The 23,986-nt window shown below is 39.0% G+C and overlaps 2 long non-coding RNA genes across 2 annotated transcripts, besides 1 other annotated feature; one reads left to right on the top strand and one right to left on the bottom strand.

Moving 5' to 3' along the window:
- Window positions 1-1,001: 1,001 nt before the first annotated feature.
- LINC00381 (long intergenic non-protein coding RNA 381) lies at window positions 1,002-16,988 on the bottom strand. Its single transcript, NR_047005.1, has 5 exons — window positions 16,933-16,988; window positions 16,622-16,718; window positions 9,743-10,068; window positions 1,539-1,658; window positions 1,002-1,129 (listed from the first exon to the last, which is right to left on the bottom strand). It is a non-coding gene; the product is annotated as a long intergenic non-protein coding RNA 381 (long non-coding RNA).
- Window positions 9,043-9,607: an enhancer, noted in NCBI's record as "NANOG-H3K27ac-H3K4me1 hESC enhancer chr13:75000691-75001255 (GRCh37/hg19 assembly coordinates)". NCBI's record gives its function as "activates a minimal SCP1, AML or CMV promoter by ChIP-STARR-seq in naive H9 embryonic stem cells {active_cell/tissue: H9 hESC(naive)}" and the evidence as "EXISTENCE:reporter gene assay evidence [ECO:0000049][PMID:30033119]".
- Window positions 16,989-17,045: 57 nt separating the features above from the next.
- LOC100288208 (uncharacterized) lies at window positions 17,046-23,204 on the top strand. Its single transcript, NR_144452.1, has 2 exons — window positions 17,046-17,389; window positions 21,221-23,204. It is a non-coding gene; the product is annotated as an uncharacterized LOC100288208 (long non-coding RNA).
- The last annotated feature ends 782 nt before the right edge of the window (window positions 23,205-23,986 follow it).

Raw genomic sequence — 23,986 nt, 5'->3', positions numbered from 1 at the left:
ATTCATAGTTTTCTTATTTCCAAACCATATCTATCAACACTTTTTGCCTCATCATGTCACTCTTTATCTTTCTTTAATCATGACTATTGATCATATTGCTGATGCATCCAAAGATTTCAACCCAAGTTTTTCAGTTTTAATAGATAACATTTCAGTAATGGGAAATGTTTCATCAGTCCTCAAAACCTAGGAAATTTAGAATCTAGCTCTTTTTTCATTATTTCCCAAATTAAATAAACTAGAATCACATTCACAAAGTAAAAATTAAACAGAGGATAAATTTTAAATGAATTTGAATAGTAGCCATTTTTCAATATATTTGGTCACAACAGACTAAAACCATTGAGTTTTAAAAATTCAAATGATTTTTAAACTTTTGGTTTCACTCAAATCCCTCAATAATACTCTTAACAGAATTTCTTATTAATGGAAAATCTGAATGTTTCAAGTTTTACTAAACTCTATTTTCCTTGCTTCTCTAACACTACTTCTGCTACCCTAGTTCTTTCCATGACTTATTATAATTGCCTCTGTTTCTCTCTATAGAAGCTTCTTGTATTCATTGTTGTAACCACAGAAATGGCACATAATAATATTCCAATAAATACTTGCTTAAGGAAAGAAATAAATGAATAAAGCAGAAACATAAAAGACTAGCAAATTTTCTATTAGATAGAAGAAGGGGAGGGGTTATGATTACAAACAATGCTTGCGCATTTAACGTTATTATATAGATACTGAATACTTTATTTTAAAATAAAAATTAAGCATCGGCATTTGTCTCTTGGTAACTTTTAAGACATTCTGCCGTTCCCCGTTTTGAAATCTTTCTGTGTCTTTTTTTGCATTAACATATTAATTTTTGTTCCTGCCAAAGAAGTCATTTGAGATAGGAACATTAGTTTATCGGAGCAGAATTATGTCAATATCACTGTAAAAGAGAAAAGGCTGCATTTCATACAGAACTCCACAAAAAGCCACAATTTACATCCTTTTGAAACTTCTATTATTTGGAACATTTATTAGAATAACAGTAAGCCTGTCAAGATTTTTTAAGCCTTTTAGAGGTTCAGGAACATTCTAATATATATTATTAGATTGAATCCTCACAGCAACCAGGAAGCAGGAACTGGGGAGAAAGGTTAAGCATGACGTCAAAGCAAGCACAGCAATATCTCCATTAGAAAATATGCTTAATTAAGAACAGGTAGATCCGAGCTCTGGTTCCAGTTCTGCCACTAACTACCTTGAGGGATTAACTCAAGTGACTTTACTCCTCTGGGATTTATTTTTTTTTTTCATCTATAAAATAAAGGGCTTGGTTTTTTAAACTCTAGCTCTAAAATTTTGTGCATATTTTATCAAAGAAAATGCATTCCAACCATTCATTTCAAAACCAGAATTCTTATTATCCAAGATAGAAATAACTTGGGAGGCTTAAGTGTCATTCCAAAGGATGAGCTAGCTTCTTTGCACCCTTCAGAAGGGCATCCCACCTTTGCCCACCCCACATGCCCAAGAAAAGAGTGTTGAGTTACCTGATCATATTTCGCATTGGAAATAGTCTTTTGCTGCCTTTCTTTGTCCTCTCTCCTGTTGTTAGTGGTCAATGTGTGACTTCCAGAAAGACATTGGAAAGGGAACACCATGGGAAAAACCTACAAAATGTAAAATTGGGAGGAAAGTGGTAGAAAAATAAAACATCATTGGAAACTAGAAAGAATGCCATCTGTGTGCTAGAAACTTTGATACGTATGGGACTGACTTAAAGGAAACATTGTTAGCTGTCTAATATGCCTGGGAAGTTAGCAGACCAGATGTGTCTTCACATCATCTAAATCAGTAGGGTGAGGTCAGGTCATGGGCAGGTACAGAGGATATAGAAGCAGTAGAGGCTTCTTTTTGAGATGATGGCCAGACATGCTGATAGTATGGAAGGTTCCCTCCAGAAAGGAGTGCTACCCAGAGATAGAAGCACACCTAGCGTATTTAAAACTTGGAGCAAAGCACTTTTTAACACCCTCTTTTCTATGCAACAAAATTACTTGCAGTAATAATCATGAAATAAAATAAATTACAATAATGTCCGGAAAATGTTGAAAATTCCCTTTTATTAAACTTTGTCATATAATTATTCCAGTAAAAAAAAAATGTATTAATTAACAACAAATAAATACTGCAATGCCGAAAGAAAAAATAAATAATGAAGTACTACATATAAATGGAAATAAAACATAGACCTACATATTAGTCTATTACAGTAACGAATGAAAAACAAAGTTTTTGTTTTTAGGCCTTAACTTCTTCAAATTAGTAAATAACATCTTCAAAACTGTTTTTCTTCACATATTTACATTCATAGGCAGTGCAGCCTTGTTAATCTGTCATTGTTCATAGTTGGCCAATATTAAACCTTATATTCATTTTAAGTTCAAAAAGGTATTTCAAATGAAGCAACAGACACACAACTCTTAAACATACAGGTAAGTGTTGCAGATATTTATAAAAATATCATTTTACAATACATTCCAGAGCTTGCAATACCACCCATGTCTTATTTCCTCAGGATCAATTCTGGTAAATCTCAAATCTCTCTTGCAGCCAGAACATTTCCTCGAAAAGAGCTTCACCAGAAAATTCATCACGTTCTGTTTCTTCCAGTTTACAAGCACTGTGCTCTCTTGTTCATGTTATATATACCATTTGAATGCAGGAATACCTAGTTCCTCTGGAGTTGGAAAACCACTCCCCAAGCAAACTCAAATATAGTTAATCTTCGTGGGTTAGAAACTGACTGTATAATTTGGAGTTCTTTGAATTACCTCTCATAGAGAACATAACGTTTATCCAGTGATAAGCAATTTTAAAATGTACAAATTTAAAGCCATGCATCTGTTATTAGAACTCAATAGCTATGGCAATTGTTTAGAATTAGACCAATAAAAGATTTTTTAAGAGAGTATTGTATCATTAACATTGTTTAAACTTCTTGGTACATGATGATAATGAAAAGCAAATCAATGTTTACCAGGTTTTTCTGTTGCTGTTTGTAAATTTTCTACAGTCAATGCATACTCGTACTGCTTGCACCCAGGCTGACCAGAATGACCACCACGCCATGTGTGGTCTGGAAGTCACACACGGTTTCAACCTTTGTAGCTACTCCCACAAGCTCAAAGGCAGCCGAGCCTCAGGGCTTCCCTAGGGATAAGCAAACACCAGCTCTCCAAGACAAGGAAGGAAAATACTGGAGAACTCAGTGTAAAAAGTAAATCTTTTTAATCAAGTTTGTTGTAGGAAACAGGAAATGATTTTTTTCCAAAGATCTTGCTTTCAAGAAAATTTAAAAAGGATACTACAGCTACATTAAGATGTAAAAATGAAGACCACAAAGATGAGAGTCCTTGAAGATCACTTCATGAAAGAGAATGCAGAGCCCAAAATCCAACTGTAGTAGACTGAGAATTTGGTGTATGATAAAAATGGCATTTCAGATCACTGAGAGAAGGGTTATACAATGTGCACTTTAGATATATTCTGTCTGAAATCTTAATGTAAAAGAAATACATGTGATCACATTTTTATTCCACACACAAAAATAAATTCTAGACAGCCTAAAATGTTAAATGTGTAAGAATTAAAACACACACACACACATACAAAATAAGAAAAATATATAAATAAATTTTTATCAGCTTTTAGGTTGAGATAACAATTTAAAGGCATAAAATCAAAGATAGAAACTATAAAAGAAAGAGCTGACAAAGCCAAGAGCATTAAGATTAAGTTTCTTTTTTTTTTTTTAATTTTTTTTTTTTTATTATACTCTAAGTTTTAGGGTACATGTGCACATTGTGCAGGTTAGTTATGTATACATGTGCCATGCTGGTGCGCTGCACCCACTAACATGTCATCTAGCATTAGGTATATCTCCCAATGCTATCCCTCCCCCCTCCCCCGACCCCACCACAGTCCCCAGAGTGTGATATTCCCCTTCCTGTGTCCATGTGATCTCATTGTTCAATTCCCACCTATGAGTGAGAATATGCGGTGTTTGGTTTTTTGTTCTTGCGATAGTTTACTGAGAATGATGGTTTCCAATTTCATCCATGTCCCTACAAAGGACATGAACTCATCATTTTTTATGGCTGCAGAGTATTCCATGGTGTATATGTGCCATATTTTCTTAATCCAGTCTATCATTGTTGGACATTTGGGTTGGTTCCAAGTCTTTGCTATTGTGAATAGTGCCGCAATAAACATACGTGTGCATGTGTCTTTATAGCAGCATGATTTATAGTCATTTGGGTATATACCCAGTAATGGGATGGCTGGGTAAAATGGTATTTCTAGTTCTAGATCCCTGAGGAATCGCCACACTGACTTCCACAATGGTTGAACTAGTTTACAGTCCCACCAACAGTGTAAAAGTGTTCCTATTTCTCCACATCCTCTCTAGCACCTGTTGTTTCCTGACTTTTTAATGATTGCCATTCTAACTGGTGTGAGATGATATCTCATAGTGGTTTTGATTTGCATTTCTCTGATGGCCAGTGATGATGAGCATTTCTTCATGTGTTTTTTGGCTGCATAAATGTCTTCTTTTGAGAAGTGTCTGTTCATGTCCTTCGCCCACTTTTTGATGGGGTTGTTTGTTTTTTTCTTGTAAATTTGTTTGAGTTCATTGTAGATTCTGGATATTAGCCCTTTGTCAGATGAGTAGGTTGCGAAAATTTTCTCCCATGTTGTAGGTTGCCTGTTCACTCTGATGGTAGTTTCTTTTGCTGTGCAGAAGCTCTTTAGTTTAATTAGATCCCATTTGTCAATTTTGTCTTTCGTTGCCATTGCTTTTGGTGTTTTGGACATGAAGTCCTTGCCCACGCCTATGTCCTCAATGGTAATGCCTAGGTTTTCTTCTAGGGTTTTTATGGTTTTAGGTCTAACGTTTAAATCTTTAATCCATCTTGAATTGATTTTTGTATAAGGTGTAAGGAAGGGATCCAGTTTCAGCTTTCTACATATGGCTAGCCAGTTTTCCCAGCACCATTTATTAAATAGGGAATCCTTTCCCCATTGCTTGTTTTTCTCAGGTTTGTCAAAGATCAGATAGTTGTAGATATGCGGCATTATTTCTGAGGGCTCTGTTCTGTTCCATTGATCTATATCTCTGTTTTGGTACCAGTACCATGCTGTTTTGGTTACTGTAGCCTTGTAGTATAGTTTGAAGTCAGGTAGTGTGATGCCTCCAGCTTTGTTCTTTTGGCTTAGGATTGACTTGGCGATGCGGGCTCTTTTTTGGTTCCATATGAACTTTAAAGTAGTTTTTTCCAATTCTGTGAAGAAAGTCCTTGGTAGCTTGATGGGGATGGCATTGAATCTGTAAATTACCTTGGGCAGTATGGCCATTTTCACGATATTGATTCTTCCTACCCATGAGCATGGAATGTTCTTCCATTTGTTTGTGTCCTCTTTTATTTCCTTGAGCAGTGGTTTGTAGTTCTCCTTGAAGAGGTCCTTCACATCCCTTGTAAGTTGGATTCCTAGGTATTTTATTCTCTTTGAAGCAATTGTGAATGGGAGTTCACTCATGATTTGGCTCTCTGTTTGTCTGTTGTTGGTGTATAAGAATGCTTGTGATTTTTGTACATTGATTTTGTATCCTGAGACTTTGCTGAAGTTGCTTATCAGCTTAAGGAGATTTTGGGCTGAGACGATGGGGTTTTCTAGATAAACAATCATGTCGTCTGCAAACAGGGACAATTTGACTTCCTCTTTTCCTAATTGAATACCCTTTATTTCCTTCTCCTGCCTGATTGCCCTGGCCAGAACTTCCAACACTATGTTGAATAGGAGCGGTGAGAGAGGGCATCCCTGTCTTGTGCCAGTTTTCAAAGGGAGTGCTTCCAGTTTTTGCCCATTCAGTATGATATTGGCTGTGGGTTTGTCATAGATACCTCTTATTATTTTGAAATACGTCCCATCAATACCTAATTTATTGAGAGTTTTTAGCATGAAGGTTGTTGAATTTTGTCAAAGGCTTTTTCTGCATCTATTGAGATAATCATGTGGTTTTTGTCTTTGGCTCTGTTTATATGCTGGATTACATTTATTGATTTGCCTATATTGAACCAGCCTTGCATCCCAGGGATGAAGCCCACTTGATCATGGTGGATAAGCTTTTTGATGTGCTGCTGGATTCGGTTTGCCAGTATTTTATTGAGGATTTTTGCATCAATGTTCATCAAGGATATTGGTCTAAAATTCTCTTTTTTGGCTGTGTCTCTGCCTGGCTTTGGTATCAGAATGATGCTGGCCTCATAAAATGAGTTAGGGAGGATTCCCTCTTTTTCTATTGATTGGAATAGTTTCAGAAGGAATGGTACCAGTTCCTCCTTGTACCTCTGGTAGAATTTGGCTGTGAATCCATCTGGTCCTGGACTCTTTTTGGTTGGTAAACTATTGATTATTGCCACAATTTCAGAGCCTGTTATTGGTCTATTCAGAGATTCAACTTCTTCCTGGTTTAGTCTTGGGAGAGTGTATGTGTCCAGGAATTTATCCATTTCTTCTAGATTTTCTAGTTTATTTGCGTAGAGGTGTTTGTAGTATTCTCTGATGGTAGTTTGCATTTCTGTGGGATCGGTGGTGATATCCCCTTTATCATTTTCTATTGTGTCTATTTGATTCTTCTCTCTTTTTTTCTTTATTAGTCTTGCTAGCAGTCTATCAATTTTGTTGATCCTTTCAAAAAACCAGCTCCTGGATTCATTGATTTTTTGAAGGGTTTTTTGTGTCTCTATTTCCTTCAGTTCTGCTCTGATTTTAGTTATTTCTTGCCTTCTGCTAGCTTTTGAATGTGTTTGCTCTTGCTTTTCTAGTTCTTTTAATTGTGATGTTAGGGTGTCAATTTTGGATCTTTCCTGCTTTCTCTTGTAGGCATTTAGTGCTATAAATTTCCCTCTACACACTGCTTTGAATGCGTCCCAGAGATTCTGGTATGTTGTATCTTTGTTCTCGTTGGTTTCAAAGAACATCTTTATTTCTGCCTTCATTTCGTTATGTACCCAGTAGTCATTCAGGAGCAGGTTGTTCAGTTTCCATGTAGTTGAGCGGCTTTGAGTGAGATTCTTAATCCTGAGTTCTAGTTTGATTGCACTGTGGTCTGAGAGATAGTTTGTTATAATTTCTGTTCTTTTACATTTGCTGAGGAGAGCTTTACTTCCCAGTATGTGGTCAATTTTGGAATAGGTGTGGTGTGGTGCTGAAAAAAATGTATATTCTGTTGATTTGGGGTGGAGAGTTCTGTAGATGTCTATTAGGTCTGCTTGGTGCAGAGCTGAGTTCAATTCCTGGGTATCCTTGTTGACTTTCTGTCTCGTTGATCTGTCTAATGTTGACAGTGGGGTGTTAAAGTCTCCCATTATTAATGTGTGGGAGTCTAAGTCTCTTTGTAGGTCACTCAGGACTTGCTTTATGAATCTGGGTGCTCCTGTATTGGGTGCATAAATATTTAGGATAGTTAGCTCTTCTTGTTGAATTGATCCCTTTACCATTATGTAATGGCCTTCTTTGTCTCTTTTGATCTTTGTTGGTTTAAAGTCTGTTTTATCAGAGACTAGGATTGCAACCCCTGCCTTTTTTTTTTGCTTTCCATTTGCTTGGTAGATCTTCCTCCATCCTTTTATTTTGAGCCTATGTGTGTCTCTGCACGTGAGATGGGTTTCCTGAATACAGCACACTGATGGGTCTTGACTCTATCCAATTTGCCAGTCTGTGTCTTTTAATTGCAGAATTTAGTCCATTTATATTTAAAGTTAATATTGTTATGTGTGAATTTGATCCTGTCATTATGATGTTAGCTGGTGATTTTGCTCATTAGTTGATGCAGTTTCTTCCTAGTCTCGATGGTCTTTACATTTTGGCATGATTTTGCAGCGGCTGGTACCGGTTGTTCCTTTCCATGTTTAGCGCTTCCTTCAGGAGCTCTTTTAGGGCAGGCCTGGTGGTGACAAAATCTCTCAGCATTTGCTTGTCTATAAAGTATTTTATTTCTCCTTCACTTATGAAGCTTAGTTTGGCTGGATATGAAATTCTGGGTTGAAAATTCTTTTCTTTAAGAATGTTGAATATTGGCCCCCACTCTCTTCTGGCTTGTAGGGTTTCTGCCAGGAGATCCGCTGTTAGTCTGATGGGCTTTCCTTTGAGGGTAACCCGACCTTTCTCTCTGGCTGCCCTTAACATTTTTTCCTCATTTCAACTTTGGTGAATCTGACAATTATGTGTCTTGGAGTTGCTCTTCTCGAGGAGTATCTTTGTGGCGTTTTCTGTATTTCCTGAATCTGAACGTTGGCCTGCCTTGCTAGATTGGGGAAGTTCTCCTGGATAATATCCTGCAGAGTGTTTTCCAACTTGGTTCCATTCTCCCCGTCACTTTCAGGTACACCAATCAGACGTAGATTTGGTCTTTTCACATAGTCCCATATTTCTTGGAGGCTTTGCTCATTTCTTTTTATTCTTTTTTCTCTAAACTTCCCTTCTCACTTCATTTCATTCATTTCATCTTCCATTGCTGATACCCTTTCTTCCAGTTGATCGCATCGGCTCCTGAGGCTTCTGCATTCTTCATGTAGTTCTCGAGCCTTGGTTTTCAGCTCCATCAGCTCCTTTAAGCACTTCTCTGTATTGGTTATTCTAGTTATACATTCTTCTAAATTTTTTTCAAAGTTTTCAACTTCTTTGCCTTTGGTTTGAATGTCCTCCCGTAGCTCAGAGTAATTTGATCGTCTGAAGCCTTCTTCTCTCAGCTCGTCAAAATCATTCTCCATCCAGCTTTGTTCTGTTGCTGGTGAGGAACTGCGTTCCTTTGGAGGAGGAGAGGCGCTCTGTGTTTTAGAGTTTCCAGTTTTTCTGTTCTGTTTTTTCCCCATCTTTGTGGTTTTATCTACTTTTGGTCTTTGATGATGGTGATGTACAGATGGGTTTTTGGTGTAGATGTCCTTTCTGGTTGTTAGTTTTCCTTCTAACAGACAGGACCCTCAGCTGCAGGTCTGTTGGAATACCCTGCCGTGTGAGGTGTCAGTGTGCCCCTGCTGGGGGGTGCCTCCCAGTTAGGCTGCTCGGGGGTCAGGGGTCAGGTGTCAGGGACCCACTTGAGGAGGCAGTCTGCCCGTTCTCAGATCTCCAGCTGCGTGCTGGGAGAACCACTGCTCTCTTCAAAGTTGTCAGACAGGGACACTTAAGTCTGCAGAGGTTACTGCTGTCTTTTTGTTTGTCTGTGCCCTGCCCCCAGAGGTGGAGCCTACAGAGGCAGGCAGGCCTCCTTGAGCTGTGGTGGGCTCCACCCAGTTCGAGCTTCCCGGCTGCTTTGTTTACCTAAGCAAGCCTGGGCAATGGCGGGCGCCCCTCCCCCAGCCTCGTTGCCGCCTTGCAGTTTGATCTCAGACTGCTGTGCTAGCAATCAGCGAGATTCCGTGGGCGTAGGACCCTTTGAGCCAGGTGTGGGATATAGTCTCGTGGTGCGCCATTTCTTAAGTTGGTCTGAAAAGCGCAATATTCGGGTGGGAGTGACCCGATTTTCCAGGTGCGTCCGTCACCCCTTTCTTTGACTCAGAAAGGGAACTCCCTGACCCCTTGCGCTTCCCAGGTGAGGCAATGCCTCGCCCTGCTTCGGCTCGCGCACGGTGCGCACACACACGGGCCTGCGCCCACTGTCTGGCACTCCCTAGTGAGATGAACCCGGTACCTCAGATGGAAATGCAGAAATCACCCATCTTCTGCGTCGCTCACGCTGGGAGCTGTAGACCGGAGCTGTTCCTATTCGGCCATCTTGGCTCCACATTCCTAATTATCAGGAAGTGTCATTATCAGCACCGCAGTGTTGAGAGGTGACAGCGTGCTGGCAGTCCTCACAGCCCTCACTCGCTCTCGGCGCCTCCTCTGCCTGGGCTCCCACTTTGGCGGCACTTGAGGAACACTTCAGCCCACCGCTGCATTGTGGGATCCCCTTTCTGGGCTGGCCAAGGCCGGAGCCTGCTCCCTCAGCTTGCAGGGAGGTATCAAGTTTCTATACTTTAAAACAAATCATAAATGGAATTAAAAAGTAAATGACATCCTGGAAAAAAACATACATTGGGTTATATATGGGTGATAAAGAGCTTTCAAAAGTCAGTAAGAAAAACATAATAATAAAAATACTGAATGAAAAACAAACAAAGAACATGAAAGGCGATTCGCAAAAACAGAAATGTGAATTTTCAAAAAAAAGTTCAACATTATTATAAAAAGGAAAACAAGTAATTAGAACAACAGCAAAATGTTTTACTCCTTAATTTGGAATTTATGTTCTATCTATCTAATGTTGACAAGGGATTGGGAAAATATGTATTATTTGACAGAGCACAACACATAAATCACTCTTTTGGGAAGTTATAATTGCAGTACAATTTAAAAGCTTTAGATATAAAACTTGCGACTTCACTTCTAGGAATGTACATATCAAAATAATTAGATATGTATACAAGATTTATGTACAAAAATCTTCATTGCTCTTATTTTTAATATAAATATAGAAATAATAATAAAATAAACATAGAAATAATAATTTCAAGAAAAAAATCTTGAGAGAAGAATGATTAAATAGATTACACTCTATTTGGTAATAAAATACCATAGAGTCATTAGGAAAAGAAGCAAAAAACACAGTATTGAAGCATATTATTATATTTTAAAATGTTTATAATAGTAGTAAGTGGATAAGGCAGGATACAAAAGTTTATCCAAGATTATTTCAATTTTTAATAAACTACATGATTCCTTTTTAAATACTGGCCATTTTAGGTATTAGGATTATGCCTTTTTTCCTCCTCTGCAATTACTTATATTTTGTTCATGCTCTACAACAATTGTGTAGTATTTTCATAAACCAAAATAAAACAACCAGGTAATTAGAAGGAAAAATTATTAGTTAGGCATTATGGCACACACCTATAGACCCAGCTACTCGGGAGGCTGAGGTGAGAGGATTGCTTGAGCCCAGGAGTTTGAGGGGGCAGTGAGCAATGATGGGTGCCACTGCACTCCAGCCTGAGCAACAGAGCCAGACCCTGTCTTAAAAAATAAAATAAAATGAAACTTGGGATAATTAAATTGCCTATGGCCCCCACTTCTCCCTCCTTCTTACGGACAACTACTTCTTTATTGAAATCTTTACAGAGGGGACAGGAGGCAGTTTTCCCTATGGTCTCCTTCCCTCCCAGGCCAAGTACACTCAAGGTTTTGTTCCTAGTGATTTGTTAGTCAAGTCATGATGTAAGATGACATGATTTACACTATCTCATCAACTAGGTGCTCCAATGAGATAAGACCTTGTTACAGGTTAAGCGTGTCCCTGCAAAATTCATGTGTTGAAGTCCTAATCCCCAGTACCTAAGAATGCGACCTTATTTGGAAACAGGATAGTTCCAGATGTAATTAGTTAAGATGAGGTCATTCTGGGGTAGGGTAGGCCCATAATCCATTTTGATTGATGTCCTTATAAAAGGGAAAATTTGGACACAGAGACATGCACAGAGTGAAGACAATGTGAAGCCCTACAGGGAAAACACCATGTGAAGATGAAGGCAGAGATTAAGATGATGCCTTTAGAAGTCAAGGAATGCCGAAGATTGTCACAAGCCAACAAAACCCAGGGAAGAGGCATGGAGCCATTTTCCTTCTAGCAGTCAAATTAACCTCACAGCCTTCAGAAAGAACCAACGCTGCTGACACCTTGATCTCAGACTTCTAGAATTGTATCATCTCCAGAACTGTGAGACAATACATTTCCGTTGTTGAAGATACCCATTTTGTGGTACTTTGTTATGGCAGTCCTAGGAAACTAATACAAACCCAAGAATTTTTGACACTTTGATCAGGAACCTGTTTCTCTAAAGGTTGAAACCACATGGGAGGGCAATTACTGTTTAGTGCAGGGGTAATCACTTTAAGTCCTTTCTGCCTTGACAAATGTAAAGCACAAATCCCACTCTATGATGAAGAGACCCAGGATCAAGAGGCTAAAGCCCTCTGCAAAATAACAGTAAGATGGTCTTCACTAGGGATCAAATTGTACACTGTGGATCTTTTTCACAAAGAGGCTTGCATTTTTTTTCTTTGGTGGCTGGGGTGGGCTCCTGATAGGGGAGAAACAATTAGAGGAGAGTAACTTTGGGAACGAGAAGTCTGTATCTTCAGGTACCCAGGCTGCAGACCACAGGCTGGGGACAAAAGGTGATATTTGTTGTTGGGGCTTGCATTATGAACTGAGAATGACTATAGTTTCCAGTTTTATTCTCTCTGAGTTTGAAATCTCTTCTGTTATCCCCAAGCCTTCAGAAAAAATCTTCTTAAGAATTATAGATTCACTTAACACCATGGGGAATCTGAGGCCAGACAATGTAATCTGCATTGGGGAAATGAGAAAGAAGTTCCAGACTGTTCAGAGATTCCAGTCTCAAGACAGCACAGGGTGACACGCACAAAAGCCATGCTGTGGTCTAGAGACCCTTGGTTGACTAAAGTGGCAGGTGGCAACAAGGACGGATTTGGGAAGCACATCAGCTTTCTCTGGGGTTACTCAGAAAACTACTGGGGAATAAAATTGTTAAAAAAAAAAAAGCTGGACTTTCTGACTGCTGGCAGGATGGGACTTACACATTGTTTTTTAGGTACGTGATGTGCAGCTTCAAAACTGAGCAAGTCTAGGACTCCCTTCTTTTGAACACTGTGCCAAATGCCTAGATTTTTGAAAAGCTCATTGTTTCAGCATTTCAACTTCTTTCCATAGATTTGGTATCAGATCTGCAAAGTTACAGAAACAATAGTATTTCTCTAATATTTTGGATTGTGGGTTTATTCTAAAATACTGTTTCTTATTAACAAAAAATATAAGGTTGGCCAAAATGATAATTAGTATTTGTCCAGGCAGTGCTCATTTTTTCTGGTGAAATAGCTATGACTTGAATAGGTTCGTGTCTCTATCTCCCCAGCCACAGCTCTAGTAAAAGTCACCCTAATCTTTGATATAGACTCTCTGAATCTTCCTTTATTCTCCTTCAATCCATTTTCCATCTAGCAGTAAATTAACTGAAAATGCTAATTTAACCTTATAATCGCTCACTTAAAATTCTTCAGTATTTTCCCCAGGAAAAAGAATCAGATTTGTCAGCCTGGCCTGTAAGACTCAACAACTTGGTGCAGCCTCTATCTTCAGCTTTGTCTGTCGCTCTGTCAGGGGAATTCTTTCCCCACCTGGCCTAATTCCTAATTTTCTTTCAGGTCTGAAATTTAATGTCACTTATTCACTGATCCTGAATCTAAATCAGTTGCCTTAATCATCACGCTCTTTAATTTCTTCAATTACATGTATACTTTCTAATTATATATTAATGTGATCATTTATTTGTATAATGCTGATCCCCCATTTTTAAGAATAATAGCGTTTAGATTGTTTTCTATTAGGCTGTATTCTATCCCCAGATCTAACAGAATTTCTAGTATCTTGTAGGTGCTCAATACTTGATGAAAGAGAAGGTAGATGCCCTTAAAATAGTGCTTGAATTGTGTCTTAAAGAAAACATTCAAAGATAATTCTTTTTTCAATGCAAAGGTTTTTTTTTTTTTTTCAGCAGGAGTAAAATCTGTCTACCTGGTTAAAGATGGCAAATATAGCAGATTTTTCAGCCTAAATTTTTTCACCTTCTCAGAAGCTAACCTTGCAAAACTTCTTAACACAGCCACAATTTTGATAAGAATGCCTGGGAATCTATGATAATGATACACTTGACTGAAAGATGTCCAGAATAATTGTTTCTTCCACTTCTAGACCTTGCTTGGGCATGATTTGATAGTTCATTCTTCAGCTTTAAATAAGCACCAGTCTCTCTTTTTTCCATTTCTTTTTTCCCTGAAAGAAAGCATAATCCCTTGGCCTCACTCTGATGCCAACTAGGTACTTTGACTCTGGCCTCCAGTTTCCTCATCTGTCAAATGTGGATAATACCCCACTCCCTAACTGACAGCTGTTTTGAGAATCAAGTGATCAGTTATTGAAAGTACGTTAAAAAAAACACTCTTATAACACAGCAAAATGTTAATTACAGAACTGTTCAATAAATATTTACAACTGCTAATATGCGTAGCCAAATGGTGTATTTCCCAAGAGTTTATGTAATTAAGTGTCACTAGTGTTTATATTTGCATACATACACCTGTCAGTAAGTGTCAACCTGTGGCCAATATGATGGGAAGTCTAGGAAGAAAAGAGGAAAGAAAAGAGCAAAACAACCCCACAAACTAAGTTAGATTAATAAAATAGAAACAATGAATTTGTTAAGGTAGAAATAAATTACCAACTCCAGTTTTATGTATATTATTTCTAAAGTTTATGCAAGTTCCCTTATATATAGCCTTAGTTTTCAATTTTGACAATTTTATTTTGACAAGCAATAAGTAATACTGAAACATTTTAAACTATCGTTACATTTAATCTTCTTCCTAAACTCCTTGTTTCTTTGGCAGTAAAGACATAAATTGTCATTGCCTATTCCTATTTACTTTGAAGTACAACATTCTTTATGCTTAGCTAATCTAAATCAACCATGTAATGTAGCCCCTTTGAGTAATAATTATACCTGAAATATGTACCTGAGTAAAAGAAAGGCAAACATCTCAATTCCAGCTTCTTTTCATTTAGTTTTATGATAACTGATTTATGTATTTCTTGGGTCTTCTATTCAACAGGAATAAACCTCTCTGCCTCTCAGGATATTTGCAAATATATGCCTATGAATTATCTAGTTCCCACTTCACACACCCATAATTTTTATTTTTAATAAATTAGTATAAAGTACATGTTACATATCATTATTTGTCACTATATTACCATAATAAATGGATTATTAAGTCAACTTACAAATAATCAGATTAAATTTTAGTAAACAGCACTCTAAATGTGCTGCCAAGTATTCTATAAAAGCAATTTCACTTCAGCACCTATGTCAAAAAATGTCCTATGTCCTCACAATATTTTTACACATTGTAATAAGAAATTTTTCACATCATCATCAATAACCTAGAAAATTAATATTGATAAAGGCATTTTATGCTTATTGGGAAAACAGTTCTCCATTGGGCCATAAAATGAAATTCTAGGTCAGTTTCAAGGTTTTGTTCATTCTTTAATAAGAGTATTAAAGGTATAAATCTTCTGCAAAATGTTAAAATGAGATTTCATTTTGTTCATAGTTGTTTCTGACACTAAGAAGCCAAGCAGTAGGATGATTCATCAGGGCAATTTACTTCGTGTATGAGAATGTCCTCTATGACAGCAATGGGGCTCAGGGCAGGGGAGAAACTTGTGTGTTTACCTATCGAAACCATTGTGTTCCCAGCCACCATTCTCTCTCTCTCTCTCTCTCACACACACACACACACTCTCTCGCTCTCTCTCTTTCTCTCTCATTAATCAGCTTGGATGACCTAACAACAGTAATACCAAACACCCCTTTGTTATACCACCTTTTCTCCCCCTTTCCCACTATCCTGCTTGACTGAAAGAGACATCTTCGTGTGTGTGCAGTGAAAGAAAGAGAGACACTGTCCCTTTTCCAGAATACAGTCACAATTGAGAGTCATGTTCTGAGTATAAAGACATGACTAAAATTCTCCTAGTACAATCAGCACACACTTTTTTTTTGGCTTTAAAGCCAATTCTATACTTCTGGAACCTATCAGGGATCATATTTATTAAAATAAGACATATCCATTGTTAAAATGTGTTATGTATAACACAATATATACAAAAAAGTAAATAGCATGATCTTACAACCAAAAGGAAAAAACTGAAAATTTTCTTGATCTATAAATGGTGAGTACAAATATTCACAGTACAAAATATATGCTATATATTTTTAAAATATTATTTCTTATGTCAAAATAATCATTTCATCTGTACACAAGAACTTAATCTTATTCAATTCAATGTAAACTCATTCTAATCACAATTTATGGAGTCCCTGCAGTATTTTCTAGATAAATTAAAATTTTGCAGTCAATTAGGTTCTCCCCCTCTAGAATTGTACCCAGGTTTTGGTTCAGCTCAAGTGGCACCACATTGGGGAGGATATGGGTCCTTTCCCAGATCATCTGTTCACACTGCACTTTGTTTGCATTTATTCTTGTTAATCTTTAATGAGACATTCCATATGCCATCTGGACTCCCTTAGATCGTGGCTTCTACACCCACCTCTTTCCAACAACAAGATTTTTGATTCTCTAGATCTCTTTTAGCTACATCCATACCCTGTAATTGAAGAACAGGAAAGACAAATGGCTACTCTCCTGAAATTGTAGAGCTGCCTTGAAATCCACCTGCCCAGGTAACTTGTGTGGTCATTGCTACTCAATATCGTAGAAATTATACAGAACACAGGCTGGGTGCCATGACTCATGCCTGTAATCCCAGCACTTTGGGAGGCCAAGGCAGGCAGATTCCTAGCCCAGGAGTTTGAGACCAGCCTGAGCAACATGATGAAACCCCATCTCTACAAAAAATACAAAAACAGCCAGGTGTGGTGGCACGTGCCTGTAGTCCCAGCTATGTGCGAGGCTGAGGTGGGAGGATCGCTTGAGCCCAGTAGGTAAGGCTTCAGTGAGCTGAGATCGTGCCACTGTACTCCAGCCTGGGTGACAGAGGGAAACCATGGGAAGGAAGGAAGGAAGGAAGAAAGGAAGGAAGGAAGGAAGGGAGGGAGGGAGGGAGGGAGGGAGGGAAAAAAGAAGGAAGGAAGGAAGGAGGGAAGGAAGGAAGGAAGGAAGGAAGGAAGGAAGGAAGGAAGGAAGGAAAGGAAACAGAATACAGGACTTCTCTACAAGGCTTCCCAAATCTCCACTCACCATCTGAAACACAAGACACAGGTCCCCTCGGTGTCCTGCACTTTCCTCCCTCAAGTGTAGTTGGAGGTTCTAGAACTCTATTCACTTATATCTCAGTTTCAGGTTACGGAACTGAGCTTTGAACTTTCTTTGTTTTAGAAAATTGCATTGATATAGTGTTACTCTCTTGTGATATTGTGTTGATATGACATTACTCTCTTAGGAGACAGTAATTTTCTAAAACAAAGTCATATTCTCTCAAGTTTTCCTCCCCTAACTTGGACAATCCCTACCTAATCTCCAGGGATAGACTCCTATCATATTTCCAAACTATTAATTATAGCAGAAACTAGATGTCTTTTGGGATTAGCCTTTTAAAAATAGAGCATTCCAACCCTTACAGGTCAAAAGCCCTGGATTTCAAGAATCTGTCTCTGCTATGAGTCTCAAGAGCCTATTTTGTAACTCAGAAGCCAAGGTATTTATCCTCTACATTCGATATAATCTCTCCCCTGAGACAGTGCATATTAATGAATTAATAGGGGAAAGGTCACAGCAAAGAAAGAAATAGATTGGATTGTGGAGAGAAGAATTTCAGTTAAATTATAGATTTCTATGTATGTAACCTATCTATCTATCCATCTATCTTATCTATGTATCTATCTAATCCATCTAGCTAGCTACCTATCTACCTACCTACTTATCTATCTTTCCAGTTAGCTTTTTTTTTTGGTCTAGAAAGTTCAAGTATATCCGTTTCTTTTATTTCTTAGAATTCTATAATTTTCCCCACTTCTTTTGAAGCTCTACTTCAGTAAACATTTGGAACATGTCTTCTACCCTCACTATTAGAATTATTCCATTTACCAGTTGACTGGGTACTTTGTTTATTTCCAAAATCAAATCGTAGAGTTTCCAAATCATATGGAAGGTGTACAATGTTTCAAAGGCAAAAATTTATTGTTTCCTAACAGATTTGAACATCAGAATAGGTTCTTTGTTCTTGCCACTAGTTTGGGAGTGCCTGTAGCTCACACTGACAAAATTATTCCAAAAGTCAAATGTAATATCTGAAGTGTATTTGGACATAAAACCTCTTAGGCATTTGTCAAAAAATTACAATAAAATTCTTCAGTGCCCCTCATTAATACTTTTTTCAATCTTCTTGCTAACCTCTTCCTCGATAATCATCAGGCAGACTGACTGGGTTCTGCAAACTTTTTCTGTGCAGAGCCAGATAATAATTTTTGAGGGGCTTTGCATACTGTACGATCTCTGTCACAACTAGTCAACTCTTCTTGGTATCACAAAAGTTGCCATAGAAAATACATTAATGAACGAATGTGACTATGTCCCAATTAAACTTTATTTACAAAAAAATGTGGGCCAAATTTGACTTACAATTCACAGTTTGCTGTGAATTGTTTTAGACTATCTGGTCCCCATCTTAATATGTCCTCCCTTTTCAATTCATTCCATATTATCTTCTTAATAATCTTTAAGGGGCACAGCCTCCCCTGCTGACATGACACAAATTAACTAAAAACCTATTTCTCAATCTGGCATTTAAGATTCTCTACCATGTGACTATTAGAGAGGGAAAGGAAGCTGGGACCAAACAGAAGGAAGTGTCAAGAAATCTAATCTAACCATGCATTCTGGCTCTGGTGAGGACAAGCAAACAGCCTGAGGAACATTTTCAAAAGATACAGACACTTTGGGCATAAAACGGAGCAGTATCAGTGCCCACTCACATTTCTGCTAATACCAGACACCAGACGGGCAGATCCAGAGGGTTGGGAAACACTAGCTGGCCAGGCGACATTATTCACAGTTTGTTTCTGTTAAAGGCCCTCAGCCAAGAGTATAAGGGGATGGGACAGGCTATTGCACAGTCCATGAGCCAGGCACTTGGCAGGTCTATTACCAGATTCGGTCAAACCAAAGCTTTGTTTCTGGACATCCAGATATCATCCAAGTAGCTAGAGGGATGGCAGAATAAGGGACGGGGTATGTGCATAATAAGCCAAGGAACTATACCAACTGGGGAGCTGGGAGCAAAGAGAATCGCAGTTCTATCATAGAGCAGACAATGTAAAAATCTATTCAAGATAATGAAATTGGTCATTGTGCCATAAAGGGAAGGTTTCCTCCTGCTCAGAATAGCCTCCCCAGAAAATGCCTCAATTAGGTAAGTCATTTCAGAGGCTCTGTACTCTATAATCAATGTGCAATGCCCCCTTCTTGATAGTGCTCAGAGAAACAAGTGGTGAGAGGCTGAATGACCCTAACTAAAATGTGCCCAAGACTAGAGTATACTTGTAACTCCTGACTTGAAAAATTCAATGAGTATAAGTGCCATGCTGAGCAGAACAGTTGCATCAGCAAATATTAAAATGTGGCTGGACTTTAAAAGAAATCAAATAATATTCCATACCACTTTATTAAGTCATCTTGAAAAATTACTGTCATAGCACCAATGACCAGTGATATTTATCATGTACATGAGTAGTAAATATTTGCCTGTAGAGAGAACTAAATGGAAAATCAAATCATAAATAGATGGTAACTAGGTAAGTGTGGAATTAGTAGAAAGATGATTTGATGTATAAACTGTTCAAGGGCATTGTGCTAAGATAACATGAAACATACCCACTTGTCCATAGAAATATTATTGTTGTGAATGGATCCAGAACATGCTGTTTTCATTGCCTACAATTAATTGCATTTCTCATCACAAAAGGGACACCTTTCTTGGTAAGGGAAGCATTTGAGTTTCAAAGGAATATTTAGCAGTATTCATTCCCTTGGCTATTCCTGAGTTGGCATTGCCAACATTTATTTCCCTGAAACTCTCCATTTTCTATATTTCCATTACTGGCTAACCCTTATTTACATAGATAACAGTCTTTATTCAAGTGAATTAATATGGACAATTGAGTTGCAATCAAATCCTTTCAACATGGGAACCATTCTTTACCTTTCCCAATACTTTGCTTATCTCTGCTCTGGTTTTTTACCCAAAGTTTAACTCTCAAGGAATATTCTATTTAATTTCCAAGATAGTAAAAGTCCTTACATGCTGCCAATAGGAAATGTATAAATAGAAAGTACAGAAGCACACAAAGGCATACACATAGACACATTGGATTCCTCATCTGGTTAATGGAATGGAGATTTGAAAGCCCAGCTGTTGGATGCCAGATCAGTGGATCTTGTTAAAGTAATTTAATTCCCAGACTCACTACACCAAGGTCTATTTCCTGCCTCAATTAGTATTGGCTTAGGAACAGATGTGAGACTAAACCTGTAGGGGTAATTGGTGGCAGGAGGCTAGATGAGGGTATGGAGGTCGTACATCAGAAGATTCAGCTCCTTGCAGCTGGCGAAAGTAGTGATACTATAGCACAGAAGGGTGGCTATGAAGCAGAACAGGGGCTCCCAATGGGAAGATGAGGAGAAGTAATTGTCTAAGTGAGGATGAAGGGAAACTAGATAAGCTCTGTTGAACAGTTTGGATTAGTAGAAAGACAGGGTGGCAAACCAGAAAAGGAAACTGGGAGAATATGGCACTAAGTGCTTATGAACAGACTATTTAGTATTCTGAGGTCTTCACCTGTGGGTTGCTTAACCATGCTCAAGTCCTGATGCTGACCAGCTCATTTGAAAAATGGGGTCAATAAAATGACCTCACAGGGTTGTCGTAAGGAGTAAATGAGAGAGTATGTATAAAGTGCTTAGGATAATATCTAACACATGGACTACATGATTAAAGCTAGTTTCTTCTCCTCTAGTGTAGGAAGTTCTTATCTTGGAGTCCATGGCCCCAGGGAGAATCACAATTGGGTGAGAAGACACGTGCAAACCCCTTTCGATAGTTTACAAAAATGTGTATGTGCATGTAAGTGCATGTGTACCTTTCTAAGATTTATGTCTTCCATCCAATTTTCAAGAATGCTCATGATTGGAATAAAGATTGAGAAGCATTGTCCTGGTACACAATGGCAAGAGATGATTTCCAAATCTCACTTACTAGTCAGGGAAAATGTGATCCTACTACGTGAACAGGCCAGTTTCCTATTGATTCAAACTGGGCAGGGCTGTATCTCAGGAAACTGTCTTTTAATTCTGACAGCTGGACATGACAACGGTGCTGGGATTGAACAGTAATCACAGAGCAAAGAATTTTTTGGTTGACTCAATTCCATGCTTAGATCTGTACTTGCATTGAAACTTTCCTCTCCTTTTTGCTTTCCTGCCATTATTAACCAAATTGTCCTCATGATTGGTGCCTGTCTTTCTATTCCAGGACAACAAATGCTACCATACTTATTCTGAGTCTTCCTGGTCAGAAACCAAGAAGATAGTCATTGCAACAAAAATACACAGCTTTCAGACATTCTCTTCCTGCTACTCAGATTGTCACGGGATACTTGGGGTGTTGCTTCACCAGCTGGAAACCTCTGTGGCTGGTGGTACCTTCTGCCTGAGTATTGCTCATGCCTGGTGGGCTCGCTTTGCCCACTCATCCTGGAAGGCTGCACTCGGCTCATGCTATCAGCCTGGATTCCATACCTGCCAAGGGCAAGCCAGGCTCGGATCAGTGAGGGGTGTGTGGGCAAGTGAGCATGGGGTTCAGCCACAGCGCACAGGCAGGCACACTGGCTGCTGCGGCAGGGTGGGCAGCTTCAGGCACTGCAGCTGAACCAGATGTACTACATGCAGCTTCTGTTGTGGGCACCCATGCCTGGACAAGGGGAATGCAGTGGTGCCTGGAAACTTGGAGATGCCAGGAACCACAGAGCCTCAAAGACAGTATCATCATAGCCCTAACTTGGGGAGCCCCTAGGTCTGGGCTTCCCTAAGGGCGGCAACTCTTTTCTCCTTCCCGTCGCTCACAACATGGTGAGTGGCAGGTCATGTTTCAGCCCTGTTTGTGTTATAGCCCTTTCAGTCCTGCCATTCAGCAGGTCCTGAGTTCTTGTCCCACATCCAGGAAGAATGAGGTACATGGACAACTGGAGGGTAAACAAGGTGGAGAGAAGCTTCATTGAGTGACAGGACAGCTTTCAATAGACCCAAAGTGGGTAGCTCCTTTCCGCAGGCAGGTTGCAGCCCTCAGCGGAGAGACCAAGCATGGGTAGCTGCCATCTGCAGGCAAGTTGTCCCAACATCTCTGTGAGTATGGCTGAGTGGTGGATGGGGCGGAATGGAGAGAGAGTCCTTTATGGGCTTCAGAAGGAAGGAAGTGCATTGTGCATGCTGATTAGTCCATGGGCAGCCATAGGCAGGCCTGGAAAAAGCACCATAAGTTCTTACTCCAAGCCATGGACTCCAGCCAGAACTGACAGCCCAGACCCCATACTTTAGGTCATCTCTGGCTTGAAGGTGGGGCTTCACTGTGCACCCACCCTTTTCTATGCAGAAGTCTGTCTTCCTCCTGCTGCTATCATATTGTCCATAGTGCCCACGCTGCTCATGCTGAGGAGTGCCTGCAGGCCCGACAAGCTGCCGTCAACCCTGCCTCAGCCTCCCTCCCATGCTGATCAGTGCATAAAGTCCAAGGGGGCCAAGGGCCAGGGTTTGGCATGTCAGCGTCACCCCAAACATGCGCACCCACAGGCAGGTCAGAAGAGCACCCGGGCTTGCCCTCAACTTTGCTCTGAAATCAGAGTGGGCACCAGGCACAGGGAGAAGCCAGGCAGTGGGAGTAGGCACTTCTGAGCCCGCGAGGCTGAGGGGGCTCAGAGGTCCCCAGGAGCACAGGGTGCCCACGTCCGCAGCTGTGGCTGGGTAGCTGCAGCAGTGCCTCGGAGGGCAGGGCTCCCACCCTGCCAATTCAGAAGGGGGCAGGGCTCCCCCTGTTCCCAGCCCTAGCTGCACCTCCCCAACTTCAGCCCATGTCTTCACAGCAGCCACTCCCAACGGGCTGCCACTGCCAACAAGATGACCTATTTTGCCAATATTCATCAACTAGAACATATTTCACACCACAGTGTTGATAAAGGAATATGCCAATAAGATGGATGCTTTCATTTATGATGAAAATAATTATTACAGAGAAGAGTCTGTATAATGGCAGCTATAACAACTGGATCTACTTGACAAGGTGGATGTAACATTTCAAACTATTGAAAAGGATGCTTTGAATTAATATAAAATAAAGAATGGGGCTGGAAATAACCCATCTACCATTTTACTGAATGAAAAAATCATTACTATTCTGTATATACTGTGAAGCTAGTAAATTGAGACATAAAATATTTTTTGTGAATTAAAAAATAAGTCAAATCAACATAAGTTCTTTCTTTGTCAAAGTTAATATTTCAAGATAAATAGGAAAACATAGAATTAATAAATATGCAAAGAATAACTCCAGTCCCCTTAACATATTCATGAGCCAATTAAGAAAATATGGTTGGCATTCCATTATTGGTGTTGGGAGGTTTGATTCAAAGAATAATTGGTCTGCTTGTGCATGAGACTATATGCTGAATCTTTTTTTCATATGTAACCTGCAGATAATTCATGTCTATTATATATTATTAAAAAATAATTTGGGGCCTATCTACAAGGTAACAACAAAACATTTCTAAGGACAAAATATTATTTTTTGTAGATTGTCCTCAATACATGGTGTTTAGTTAGTACTGTATTTACAGAGCCATCAATTCCTTTCTAAAGGGGCTGTCCTATTGTGGATTCAGGCATTTGCATTTACATTGCCTTACTTGTCAATCAGTTTTACTCACTCAGCTTTAATGAAGCAAGCCCAGGAACATGGACCAGAGAAATAAAAATCATAAACTTTCAGTGCATCTGTTTCTGCCTCAGAATCATGCATATTTAGTTGAAATGTTTTACATGTAACCTATACCACTGATAGTTCAAATTTTTCACCTTTAAAATATTTCTTTTCAGATTTGATGAAAACATCAGTTTAGAGATCAGTTAACAAAATAAAGCCTCATTAGGCTGGCAGATAATAGTAGTATAAGGCTGATATATGAACAACTGATAACAAAAGATAGAAGTTAGGGAGAGTTAGAATTCAGCATAATATGAAAAAATAGCC

Source organism: Homo sapiens, chromosome 13, assembly GCF_000001405.40.
Source record: "Homo sapiens chromosome 13, GRCh38.p14 Primary Assembly".
In the NCBI taxonomy this organism is placed as follows: Eukaryota; Metazoa; Chordata; class Mammalia; order Primates; family Hominidae; genus Homo; species Homo sapiens.
This window is presented reverse-complemented; position numbering and strand designations above follow the sequence as displayed.